The sequence below is a fragment of the Homo sapiens genome, chromosome 11 (genome assembly GCF_000001405.40).
Source record: "Homo sapiens chromosome 11, GRCh38.p14 Primary Assembly".
In the NCBI taxonomy this organism is placed as follows: domain Eukaryota; kingdom Metazoa; phylum Chordata; class Mammalia; order Primates; family Hominidae; genus Homo; species Homo sapiens.
The window spans coordinates 126,269,123-126,281,901 of NC_000011.10; the positions used below are offsets into that span (position 1 = coordinate 126,269,123).

The 12,779-nt window shown below is 50.9% G+C and overlaps 1 protein-coding gene and 2 pseudogenes across 23 annotated transcripts, besides 2 other annotated features; 2 read left to right on the plus strand and 1 right to left on the minus strand.

Annotated features, from left to right (window-relative positions):
* FOXRED1 (FAD dependent oxidoreductase domain containing 1) lies at positions 32–9,004 on the plus strand. Of its 23 annotated transcripts, none has more exons than NR_037648.2 (11): positions 32–293; positions 2,315–2,535; positions 3,847–3,957; positions 4,214–4,332; positions 5,805–5,899; positions 6,205–6,306; positions 6,672–6,748; positions 6,937–7,097; positions 7,272–7,401; positions 7,949–8,053; positions 8,313–9,004. NR_037648.2 is itself a non-coding variant. In XM_047427252.1 (11 exons), exons 1-11 carry the CDS (start codon positions 251–253, stop codon positions 8,565–8,567), a joined length of 1,416 nt encoding a protein of 471 aa, XP_047283208.1. In that variant the 5' UTR covers positions 32–250; the 3' UTR covers positions 8,568–9,004. The 23 variants fall into 23 exon arrangements, 20 of the variants coding, with proteins under 20 accessions (XP_047283208.1, NP_001412099.1, NP_001412089.1 ...); NR_189143.1 differs by having other exon boundaries at positions 32–169; positions 7,331–7,401; XM_047427252.1 differs by having other exon boundaries at positions 7,952–8,053.
* Positions 56–325: an enhancer, noted in NCBI's record as "active region_5705". NCBI's record gives its function as "activates an Ori minimal core promoter by ATAC-STARR-seq in GM12878 lymphoblastoid cells {active_cell/tissue: GM12878}" and the evidence as "EXISTENCE:reporter gene assay evidence [ECO:0000049][PMID:35858748]".
* Positions 8,410–8,574: a silencer, noted in NCBI's record as "fragment chr11:126147427-126147591 (GRCh37/hg19 assembly coordinates)". NCBI's record gives its function as "represses an EF-1alpha promoter that drives an FKBP-Casp9 reporter gene in an ReSE screen in K562 erythroleukemia cells {active_cell/tissue: K562}" and the evidence as "EXISTENCE:reporter gene assay evidence [ECO:0000049][PMID:32094911]".
* RPL35AP26 (ribosomal protein L35a pseudogene 26) lies at positions 9,080–9,453 on the minus strand (annotated as a pseudogene).
* Positions 12,535–12,632, plus strand: LOC124902838 (uncharacterized; annotated as a pseudogene).

Consider the following 12,779-nt stretch of genomic DNA (forward strand, 5'->3'; position numbering starts at 1 on the left):
ATGGCGTTTGGCGCGGAGCAGTGACGGCTGCGATAATAGCGAGGCAGCAGTGCAGCTTTCAGAGGGTCCGGGCTCAGAGGGGTTATGATTCGGAGGGTTCTGCCGCACGGCATGGGCCGGGGCCTCTTGACCCGGAGGCCAGGCACGCGCAGAGGAGGCTTTTCTCTGGGTAAAGTTGAGGACGACAGAGGGTATTGTGGTTCTGGGTTGTCCCCAACCTCCGACTGTGTGTCCTTCAGGACCCGAAACCATGGCCCACACTGGCAGGACAGTGGGTCGGCTTGGGGAAGGGGGTTAGCTTACCTACCAGAGCTTGTAGGGGCTGTGCAGGTGTATGGCTCCCAAGGCGGCCCTTTTCAGGTGGCAGGTCTCACATCATTCTCCATTTAAGCTTACAGTCAGACTGATTGATAATCGGTGGCACAGATGTGCATTAAGTCCTGCCCGTGTTCAGGATGCTGTACTTAGTGCTGTTGCGGTAAAGGAGTGAAGAGAAGACGGGATTCAGTGAATGTTCTGGAAAATGGCTAGAGTGTACCTAGAGAGGGAAAATTTCAATAGACAGTAGGCCAGTTCAAGACTGGATAGAGGCCGGGCGCGGGGCCTGTAATCCTAGCACTTTGGGAGGTCGAGGCGGGTGGATCACCTGAGCTCAAGAGTTCGAGAGCAACCTGACCAACATGGTGAAACACCGTCTCTACTAAAAATACAAAAATTAGCTAGGTGTGGTGGTGGGCTCCTGTAATCCCAGGTACTCGGGAGGCTGAGGCAGGAGAATCGCTTGAACCCGGAAGGCGAAGGTTGCAATGAGCCGAGATCATGCCATTGCACTCCAGCCTGGGCGACTTAGCGAAACTCCGTCTCAAAAAAAAAAAAAAAAAAAAAAAGATTAGCTAGAACTCAACTTAATGCTTTGCACTGCTAGCTAGTATAACGGTAGAAGTACATGGAGCAGGTGGGAACTGAGATCAGCCTTGGAGGATGTTTACTGGCTTAAGAAAGGTGTGTGTTCCAGTCTCTAAATAACTGAGTGCAGACTAGGAGAAAAATATTGTTCTTATGCAAGGAACTGGCAAAAGCCATCTAGATAGACGGTGTGAGTAGTAGCATGAAATGTAGTGTGGACAGGTAAGCTAAGGCCAGACCAAAGAAAGATTCCAGTGCTGCTGAGAAGAGTTTGAGTGAGGTATGAAATGGCAAAAGGATTCATTTATTTAAGATACTTACTGAGCACTTAGAATATGCCGGGTGTTGCGATAGGCTGGAGATTCAGTGGTGAAGGTAAACACAGCCTCCCCCCTCATGGATTTTAGAGTATGTAACAATACAAACTGCAGTTGTGTCCAAGAGATCATGTAGAGTTTGACCTGGTCTGGGGGTCAGGAAAGGCTTTCCCAAGCAAGGAATTAACTAGGCAAGGAAGTGGACACAGTTTAAAAGCAGAGAGCATATGTAGGTTCCCTGTGGTGGGAGGAAATAAGGTGCCATCAAGGAACTAAAGGGCCTGGAGTGTAGGGGAGGATAAGATGAACAGAAGCCAGATTGTGCAGTATCTTACAGGCTGTGTTTAAGTCTTTGGACTTTGGTTCTTAGAGTAATGGAAAACTCATTGGAGGGTTTTAAGCAAGAGGGTTTGTGATTAAATTTGTGTTTTGAAAAGATATTTCTAGCTATATTGTAAACATGTTCACAGCAGGGGGTAGGATGGAAGCGGGGAATCAGTGGGAACAGTTAGGATGCTTTTGCATTTGTCCAGTTGAGAGATGATAGTGGCTTGGCCTAGGATGATGGTGGCAGAGGAAGAAAGGGGACAGATTGAGGAGTTACTTGGAAGCCGGAGCCCGCAGAACTTGATTATGGATAGGATATAAATGTAGGTTTGGTGGTGGTGATGGATATCCAGGATAAGCATGGCACCGCTTAGCGGTGACATGCTTCAGAGGGTGCCGTGACTTGGGGTGTGCCAGGGCCTCTTGGTCCAAGGCCTGGAAGACCCAAGTGGGGATGACAGTGCAGTTGAATATGTGAGTTGGGATCAGGAGAGGTCTATGCAGGAGGTAATGTAGAAAATTAATTTTAGGAAATTGAATCTTGCAGTGCTTGGCACAATGCATGAAGAGACTGATGGCATGTGGACTATTCAGAAAACTGTGGCAACACTGTTGGGTGCAAGGTGACCTTATGAGATGGGCTGACAGTGGGGACTGCCAACTCATGTGTCTGTTTAGCTCACCTTTTCCTGTGCCCATCCTCCAACCCCCCAACCATGTGGGAAGGAAATGTTTGGCCCTCTGACCCTAACTACATCCCACAGACTGGGATGGAAAGGTGTCTGAGATTAAGAAGAAGATCAAGTCGATCCTGCCTGGAAGGTCCTGTGATCTACTGCAAGACACCAGCCACCTGCCTCCCGAGCACTCGGATGTGGTGATCGTGGGAGGTGGGGTGCTTGGCTTGTCTGTGGCCTATTGGCTGAAGAAGCTGGAGAGCAGACGAGGTGCTATTCGAGTGCTAGTGGTGGAACGGGACCACACGGTGAGGTCTGGGGTAGGGCAGAGTCATGAGTGGGGCAAGAAAGATGACTCATTTTATTAAGGACTCTAGCGACAAGGGAAGGAGAGGAGGGGAAGACCTCAATCTCGGAGGGTCCAACGGACAGAGATTGTGCTTTGGACTTTGTTGAGAAATTTTCCTAGGATCTTCCTCAGTCGAACCAGGAAGCTTGGCAATAAGGTTTGTTCTTTTGAAAGCAGATATCACCATATTGGATTTTTCGAGATCTCATAGCTCTGGTCATGAGAGCCTGCATTCAAGCTATAATTAAGTGTCTCAATTTTCTCTTTTTTTTTTTTTTTTTGAGACAGAGTCTTGCTCTGTCACCCAGGCTGGAGTGCAATGGCACAATCTCAGCTCACTGCAACCTCCACCTCCCAGGTTCAAGTGATTATCCCACCTCCGCCCCCTGAGTAGCTGAGATTACAGGGACACACCCTGATGCCCAGCTATTTTTTGTATTTTTAGTAGAGATGAGGTTTCACCATGTTGCCTAGGCTGGTCTTGAACTCCGAACCTCAAGTGATCTGCCCGCCTTGGCTTCTCAAAGTGCTGGGATTACAGGCATGAGCCACCATTCCCAGCCCTCAACTTGCTTCTTTTGGGTCCCGTTACTTCTGAGGTTTTTTGCATTTTATTGTATTTATTTATTTCGAGACAGGGTCTCGCTCTGTTGCCCAGGCTGGAGTACGGTATAACCTCCACCTCCCAGGCTCAAGTGGTCCTCCCACCTTAGCCTCCAGAGTAGCTGGGACCACAGGCATGCACCACCACACCTGGCTAATTTCTGTATTTTTTGTAGAAATGGGGTTTTGCCACGTTGCCCAGCTGGTCTCAGATTCCTGAACTCAAGCAATCAGCCCGCCTCGGCCTCCCAAAGTGCTGGGATTACAGGCATGAGCCACCCACCCGGCTGGTTTTTACACTTTAGGTGTTCCTGTTTGCATTGCCAGCTAGCCACGAGTCTTGCTACTTTACTTCAATCATAACCTTTCATTTCCCAAATGGTAGGTCAAACGTTAATCGCCTGCCCTTGGACTTCCAGGCCATTACCATTTTGTACCACTGTGTCAGCTCTTTCCAGATGACTGACCCTCTCTGCTCTGCACATCCACTACTAATGATTTTAAACACCATTGCCTTCAAGTTGACTTACACATGGGTCTTAGATTATAGACTTGCAAATAGGACTCCCCTTCAACTTTAGGTGTATAGCTCGAAGCTTTCATTGCAGTATTCTAGTCACATGTGATAGGGTACTGGTCTACCTCAACTTTTCTTGTCTTTCCACAGTATTCACAGGCCTCCACTGGGCTCTCAGTAGGTGGGATTTGTCAGCAGTTCTCATTGCCTGAGAACATCCAGCTCTCCCTCTTTTCAGCCAGCTTTCTACGGAACATCAATGTAGGTGCAATGATATCCGGGATGTTGGGGTGGTTACCCCTCCTTTAGCCCAGAGTGGGGAGCAGCCCAGCTAGCAAGGTAGCCAGAGAGCAAGAATGGGTCAGCCAACTAGGAGAGGGGGGCCCTGGCCTTCTTCCTAGTGGTGGTGCCGCAGGTCTGGGGCACTGAGCCTGGGGAGCTGTGGGGGAAGAAGGCAGGAAAACTCTTTCTGGCATCCTTAAGTCAGTTTCTTTCAGGAGCTTCTGTCTGCACACAGGAGTACCTGGCCGTAGTCGATGCTCCTCCCCTGGACCTCCGGTTCAACCCCTCGGGCTACCTCTTGCTGGCTTCAGAAAAGGATGCTGCAGCCATGGAGAGCAACGTGAAAGTGCAGAGGTGGGTGCCTGGCACAGCCTCTTAGCTGCTTGGCAGCCAAAGGTGTTGGGTGACTCCTGCACCAGGTTAGGAAGCGAGAAAGTGGAGTTGATAAGACAGATCCCTGCGGTCTAGGACCTCAGTGTGTCAGGAAGAAAATACACAGACCTGCAATGCCCTGGGAGTGCTGTACCACAGATATGGACAAAACACTGCGAGGTGCTTCCTAATTTGTCAGATCATGAAAACCACCTGGAACACATCCCAGACCTAATAAACCAGAATCTCTAGGGAAGGAGCCCACAAATCTGGGTTTTTAACAAGAACCTTAAGTCAGGAGTTAGCAAACTTTTTCTGTAAAGGGCCAGATAGTATATATTTTAGGTTTTGCTGGCCATACAGTCTCTATTCCAACCACTTTGCTATCACAGCATGAAAGCAGCCATAGACAAAAGTGCAAATGAAGGAGTGTGGCTCATTTATGAAAACAGGCAGCAGGTCGGATTTGGCAACCCCTGCTCTAAGTGATTCTCATGGTCAGGTGAGGGTGGGCATGTTTGTGATGCAATATGGCCAGAGGCTTTATTTGTATGTTTATTTAACAAACACCCAAGTCTCAGAGTGACATCAATTAATATCCTAAATGCTGTACAGATATTAACTCATTTAATCATCAGAACATCCCCATTTTACATATGAGGAAACTGAGGCATAAGGCGCTAGTAAGTGGTGGCGGTAGGATCTTATTTGAAGCCAGCAGTCTGGCTTGTGAGTGTTCTGTTGGTGTGTCCGCTATGCTGCCTTTGAGGGACAGTGTCCCAGAGGAGATACCTGTGCTCAGGAACAGGATTGTACAAGGAGTGGAGAGGAGGTGGATCCAGGCAGGAGTGGAGGGAACAAGGTTACCACCTTGTTGTGAAAGTTCATGGAATAGGCTGGGTGCAGTGTCTCATGCCTGTAATCCCAGCATTTTGGGAGGCCACGGCAGATGGAACACCTGAGGTCAGGAGTTCGAGACCAGCCTGGCCAACTGGTGAAACCTCATCTCTACTAAAAATACAAAAATTAGCTGGGTGTGGTGGCGTGTGCCTGTAGTCCCAGCTACTCCAGAGGCTGAAGCAGGAGAATCGCTTGAACCCGGGAGGAGGAGGTTGCAGTGAGCCAAGATCGCGCCACTGCACTCCAGCCTGGGTGACAGAGCCAGACTCATTGAAAAAAAAAAAAAGAAGTCATGGAATAGACTGGGATAGCAGGGAGCTCTGTGTGCTGAAGGGAGACAAGGGAGTAGGGAAGGAAAGGCAGTCAAGGCTGAAGAGCCTGACTAGGAGGCTTGGTCTTCAGCCGCTCAGCAATGAGGAAAAATAGGGGCATTTGGGGCAGAGAAGTGACATGACTGAGCTGGACTCCCCACTTGTGGAGTTGGGGTCCATACATCATCCCCCTGCACACTCCCCTCTCTGACACACATACACCGACCCACACGTTTATCTCAGGCAGGAGGGAGCCAAAGTTTCTCTGATGTCTCCTGATCAGCTTCGGAACAAGTTTCCCTGGATAAACACAGAGGGAGTGGCTTTGGCGTCTTATGGTGAGGCTTGCTTGCAGAGGGGACAGCTTTTTTCCTGAAGATGGAGACTAAGGGGTGCTACACGTTGGGAGTCTCGGTACTCCACAGCCAAGCTGAAGGAGGAACACTTCCCTCCTGTGTCACGGGAACTGCCCTGGGCCGTGGTAGTTCTCTGTCCTTCATCAGGCTTTGTCTCTGTGGTTCAGTTGGTTAAGATGACCTTCCCCGGCTTACAAGCCCTAGAGAGGGGTTGGGGGGCACAGGAAATACAATCCAAGAGCAGAAGTCCTCATCCCTCTTTGTGAGTTCTCTTTTTCTTATCACAGGGATGGAGGACGAAGGTTGGTTTGACCCCTGGTGTCTGCTCCAGGGGCTTCGGCGAAAGGTCCAGTCCTTGGGAGTCCTTTTCTGCCAGGGAGAGGTGACACGTGAGTCTGAGCTTGTTTCCTCTAGCAACCGGGGCATAGGCCTAGACTAGGTCTTATCTTCTCACTCACAAGCTAAGCAAGGGCTGGAGGGGGAAAGGGGTCTCCCTGAGAGCAGGTCCTAGGCATCTTGACCTGGGCTCCTCACTGATCTGCGTTGTGACTTGTGATCTGCTTGATGATTGCACCTGAGCACTGTCCTGTCAGAGTGTGGCCAAGCTCATGCCAGCTCCCTCATCTCTGTTTGCTTCAGTGTCTGTGGGAAAGCTCCCATCCTTCCAGCTTTCTTTCCTTAAGAAACCAGTGAAATCCCCATTTCATTCCTCTTCAGCACCTCTACGGCCTATTTTTCATTTTCTTCTCTGCAGGTTTTGTCTCTTCATCTCAACGCATGTTGACCACAGATGACAAAGCGGTGGTCTTGAAAAGGATCCATGAAGTCCATGTAAGTTTCTAGTCTGTGATGTCCTTTACCAAAATGGAGGGACAGGGAAGGTAGTGACTCTCCTTGTTTTGGTTTTCTTTGACCCACTTTCCAGTATGGGTAAACTAAGGCTCAGGAAGCAGTGCATCTCTCAGGGTGCCTGGTGTGTGGTCCGGGCCTTCCCACTCCTCACCCTCTGGTGTCTGCAGGTGAAGATGGACCGCAGCCTGGAGTACCAGCCTGTGGAATGCGCCATTGTGATCAACGCAGCCGGAGCCTGGTCTGCGCAAATCGCAGCACTGGCTGGTGTTGGAGAGGGGCCGCCTGGCACCCTGCAGGGCACCAAGCTACCTGTGGAGCCGAGGAAAAGGTAACTGCCCTCCGGACAGCTGAGGAGGTTGGTGAGAAAGAAAGAAATGACATCGAAGTTGGATAGCGTGTGTGTGTGTGTGTGTGTGTGTGTGTGGGGTGTGGGGTGGACAGGGTTGGGGAGGGTTGCCGGCCATGCTGTTTCTGCAGTTCGTAACCGCACTGGTTGTGGCAGGTATGTGTATGTGTGGCACTGCCCCCAGGGACCAGGCCTAGAGACTCCGCTTGTTGCAGACACCAGTGGAGCCTATTTTCGCCGGGAAGGATTAGGTAGCAACTACCTAGGTGGTCGTAGCCCCACTGAGGTAAGCTGAGTGGGGTGGGACATGCTGGCAAGGAGACATAGAATAATTGTCACGAAACAATCAGGCTTTTGGCCAGGCACAGTAGCTCATGCCTGTAATCTTGGCATTTTGGGAGGCCAAGGCAGGTGGATCACCTGAGGTTAGGAGTTTGAGACCAGCCTGACCAACATGGCAAAACCCCGTCTCTACTAAAAATACAAAACTTAGCTGGGCGTGGTGCTGGGCGCCTGTAATCCCAGCTACTTGGGAGGCTGAGGCAGGAGAATCACTGGAACCCGGGAGGCTGAGGTTGCAGTGAGCCAAGATTGCGCCATTGCACTCCAGCCTGGGCAACAAGAGCAAAACTCCATCTCAAAAAAAAAAAAAAGAAAAAGAATCAGCCTTTTTTGGGGGGCTGTGTGCTGTGTTAATTGATATTAGAGCCCCCTCCAGATTTGAACTGGGACCATTTCTCCCCATCCCCTACCTGCACAGGGATTGTTAAACAAGTCTGGGCCTGTCCTTGTGTCCCAGGCAATGTAAGCGTTGTCCCCACCTCTCACTCCAGCAGGAAGAACCGGACCCGGCGAACCTGGAAGTGGACCATGATTTCTTCCAGGACAAGGTGTGGCCCCATTTGGCCCTGAGGGTCCCAGCTTTTGAGACTCTGAAGGTAACTGGCAAGGGCTGGTTTTCCTTTTTATTTTTGGACATTGGATGGGACAGATGACAGTGGAGCACATTGGTCCCCTCGGACCCGTGACTGCCGTAGTCCCTCCATGTCACAACTGCTAAGGAATTTCTTGGACACATCCCATCCCATAGACCCCTCAGCAGCAGGTAGAGGGTACTCTGTGCTGAGCCCTGAGGGGAGTGAGGATGGAGTGTGGCTACAGCCTTCCCGAGAACCCCAGTGTTTTGTGCACCCGCAGGTTCAGAGCGCCTGGGCCGGCTATTACGACTACAACACCTTTGACCAGAATGGCGTGGTGGGCCCCCACCCGCTAGTTGTCAACATGTACTTTGCTACTGGCTTCAGTGGTCACGGGCTCCAGCAGGCCCCTGGCATTGGGCGAGCTGTAGCAGAGATGGTACTGAAGGGCAGGTTCCAGACCATCGACCTGAGCCCCTTCCTCTTTACCCGCTTTTACTTGGGAGAGAAGATCCAGGAGAACAACATCATCTGAGCATGTGTGCTCTGCACTGGCTCCACTGGCTTGCATCCTGGCTGTGTTCACAGCCTTGTTTGCTGCTTCCATCTTCCCCAGTACTGTGCCAGGCCTTCTCCCCCTCCCCAGTGTCCTCTCCTCTCAGGCAGGCCATTGCACCCATATGGCTGGGCAGGCACAGGCAGTGAGGCCGAGGCCAATAGCGAGTGATGAGCGGGATCCTAGGACTGATCTGTAGCCCATGCTGATGTCACCCACCAGGGCAATCCATCTGGAGGCCTGAGCACCCTGGCCCAGGACTGGCTTCATCCTGGCACTGACCAGGAAAGACTGCCTCTGACCCTCTTAGCAGACAGAGCCCAGGCATGGGAGCACTCTGGGGCAGCCTGGCTCAGGTTTATTGATTTTCGTCTGTTTACCCTATCCATTAATCAATACATGTAATTAACTCCTTCCCTCCAGTCTTCTGTCTCTTCTTTTCATTGTACAGCAGGAGCTTTTGAAGCACCCCATTAGCCTTATACCAGTACAGGGAGTTTTTTTAAAAAAAAACAAAACACGAGCACAAACCCACCTTTCATTAGTTAAATCCTTGAGCGGTGCAGTATCACACAGATTGTGTGTCTGTAGTCTTAGCAGGAAGATTGGGAATTTGGCATAAACCATGCCACTGTTTCCGTGAACCCAAGTTACTTTTTCCCAGATTACTCTGGTTTTGTTTGGTGTGCCACCAGAAGTCGCTGTGTGGTTCTTTGCTTTGTGTACATGAGCACATCTCTTGCCCAAATAGAATTCAGTTTATCCCAGGCATAAATGCTGAAATTTTAAGAAGAGCTGTGTGCCCCCTTTGGTTCTGGAAACCCCATGTACAGCCAGCAAAAATGGCCTTGGACCACAGCCTTCCTGTTCCCAGCAAGCCTCCACAGGCTCCAAGATGGCAGACAGAGTCCTTCTTAGATCCTAGGTGGTAGGCACTTGCTTGTAAGCAAGTGCCTCCCATTCCTGAGTTCCTGCAGGGAGTTTGGTTGTAAAGAAGAGGGATGGGTTTGTCCATCTATTCTACCAAAATTTATTCAGCCCAGCTGTTGGCCAGGGTCAGGGTCACATGTTGAGATACACCAGCAAGCAAAACATAGTCATGTCTTTGCTGGAACTTTCATAGCCCTGCACCTCCTAGCCCTTCACCCCTAGATCAGATACAGTGTGACCCCCACAGTGCTGGCATAAGCACACAACACAGACACCTCACCCAGGGTGGGACTAAGAGGGTGGCAAAGGGGTTTCTCCATGAAGCTCCTCGAGGGAAGTTGACCTCTGAGCTGAACCTAAAGGATGGGCATTTAGTGAAGTGAATGCAAGGTGGCTAAGGGAGGATCCAGGCTGAGGGCAAACCATATGTAAAGGTCCAGAGACAAGAATTAATACGATTCAGGGATTTGTCCTAGTCCACTTGGGCAGCTATCACAACATATCCTAGACTGGGTAATTTATAAATAATAGAGATGTATTGCTCACAGTTCTAGACACTGGGAAGTCCAAGATCAAGGCACCAGCAGATTCAATGTCTAGTAAAGGCCTGCTTTCTGCTTCGAAGATGGTGCTTTCTCACTGCATCCTCACATGGCAGAAGGGGTAAGGCAACTTCTTTCAACCTCTTCTAAGAACACTCGTCCCTTTCATGAGGGTAGAGTCCACATGACTTAATCACGTCCCCAAAAGCCCCGCCTCTTAACACTATCACATTGGGTATCAGGTTCCAACATAGGACTTTAGGGAGGACACCAACATTCAGACCACAGCAGGATTCAGTGTGACTGTTTCTGCCTGGATCGTGGAGTGCGAGAAGAGGAACTAGAGCCACTGAGGGGTTTTAAACAGGAGCAACACGATCGGATTTTCCTTTTAGAAGAATCACCTGGGTGACCCTGTGGAGAGCAGATGAGGATGTCAAGGCAGGCAGCAAGGAGGCCAGATGGAGGCTGTGGTTGCAGTCTGTGTGGCAGGGACAGGGAGTGCCTGAACCATCATGGCAAGAATCAGATGGATCCCAGGGTGACGCCAGCAACAAGAAGTGGGTTAAGTCGCATGGCCAGGTTTCTGGATGGAGGTTCTACCCCTCCCAGAGATGAGGAGCACCAGGGAGGAGCGGAGTGAGGGACAGAGTGAATGGTGCAGTCTGGGATGTGGTGAATGAGGGTACCTGTAGGACATCCCTCAAATAGGGGGTTGGGCTGATTGGCATGGTCCTTGGGGGATGATCTGGGCTGTAGATAGTGATGTGGACATCATGGAACAGGATGGCATCACCCCAGAGGGTAGAGTAGGGGGCCAAGGAGGGAAGCTGGAGGGACCCCACCAACATTTAAGGGACAGACCAGAGAAGGGGACACTGAAGAGGTGCCCACAGAGACAGGAGAAAAGCCAGGAGAGTGTGGTGTCGTGAAGCTAAGGAGGAAGTGATCACGGTGCCTGCTGGATTCGGTCCCAAGTAGGTCAGTGGTGGCCTCACTCGAGAAGAGCAGTTTCAGTGGAATTTAAGGTCTGGACACTTGCACAGGAGAAGTGAATGGGAATAGAAACAGCTGGTAAACTGCCCACTCCGCCTTGAAAGTGGCCTTTGGGATCGGGCGCGGTGGCTCACAGTTGTAATCCCAGGACTCTGGGAGGCCGAGGTGGGAAGATCGCTTGAGCCTACGAGTTCGAGACCAGCTTGGGCAACATGGCAAAATCCTGTCTCTACAAAAAATACAAAAATTAGCCAAGCGTGGTGGCATGCACCTGTAGTCCCAGCTATTAATACGTGGGAGGCTGAGGCAGGAGGATCACTTGAGCCTTGGAGGTTGAGGCTGCAGTGAGCTGTGAGGCACCACTGCACTCCAGCCTGGGTGAAGGAGTAAGACCCTATCTCAAAAACAAAAAACGACAACAGAAAAAGTGGCCTTTGTGGAGAAGGATGAAAGGGAGGGAAGAAATGATGGAGGTGGGCTTTACTAATGGCAGGGGAGGAGATGTGCTACCAGTGAGGTAACAGCAGAAGCCCCTGAGGTTGGGGTGAGGGGGCCAGGCCTAAGGCGGAAGCCAGAAGAGGAAGAAGGCGGTGCTGAAAGACAGGAAGGAACTTGCCAGGGATACGCAGGAGGGACAAGCTGACATCCGGGTTGACCCTGTGAAGTTCCCCTAGGTGCCAGCCAGTTGCTCCCTTCAGCACGGACATTCCAATCTCAGGGCAAAAGGGAAAAGGCCTTCAAGTGTTTCTCACCCAGAAGCTGCTCCCTTCCACACACTGAGTACTATGTTTATTAAGAAGCACTGAGGCCTGTAATCCCAGCACTTTGGGAGGCGGAGGTGGGCAGATCACCTCAGGTCAGGAGTTCGAGACCAGCCTGACCAACACGGAGAACTCCTGTCTCTAGTAAAAATACAAAATTAGCCGGGCATGGTGGCGTGTGCCTGTAATTCCAGCTACTCAGGAGGCAGAGGCAGGAGAATTGCTTGAACCCTGGAGGCGGAGGTTGCAGTGAGCTGAGATTGCGCCATTGCACTCCAGCCTGGGCAACAAGAGTGAAACTCCATCTCAAAAAAAAAAAAAAAGCACTGAGCAACTCTCCTGTCCTCCCACAGGGCTGTACTTCAAGCTGTGGGCAAGCCCTTACCATCGCCTCCGTGCATCTGTCTTCCCCCCTGAGCTGTGCAGAGCTGGGACCAAGCCTTCTTCATCCTTGCCTGACACTCAGCTGCCCCAACACTTGGCCCATACTTGGCGCCGTCAAGGCCTGTTTATCTGAGTGTTCCTCGAGTGTCCTTCTGCTCTGGCTGGAGCCTGAAGAACCATCCCTGGCCTCGGGGAATTTTTACTCTAAAGTGGGAGATAAGCAGCAGAGCACAGGCTCTTTACAATGAAAAGCACTATGGCCTTTGAGGGATGGAGGTGGGAAGGGCTGGGTTAAGCAAAGCTTTCCTGAATAAGCTGCAAAAATGGGCCTTGATCCCTTTGTAGCTCATAAGCAAGATGACTGGGTGTTCACGCACATGTGTGAGGTGTGCCTCCCTTAAACCTTGTTAAGGGTTGTTACCCGTGTGATGGGAAAAAAAAGAAAAAGGAAACAAAAAAACCCCAAAAATAGGCCTTGCTAGAAGAAGGGCGTTTTGCAGAGCGGAGCTGGGGAAAAGGAGGGCCCTGGGCGGAGGTGTACTTGGTAGAGTCAGGTAGAGTCAAAGCAAACTGGGCAT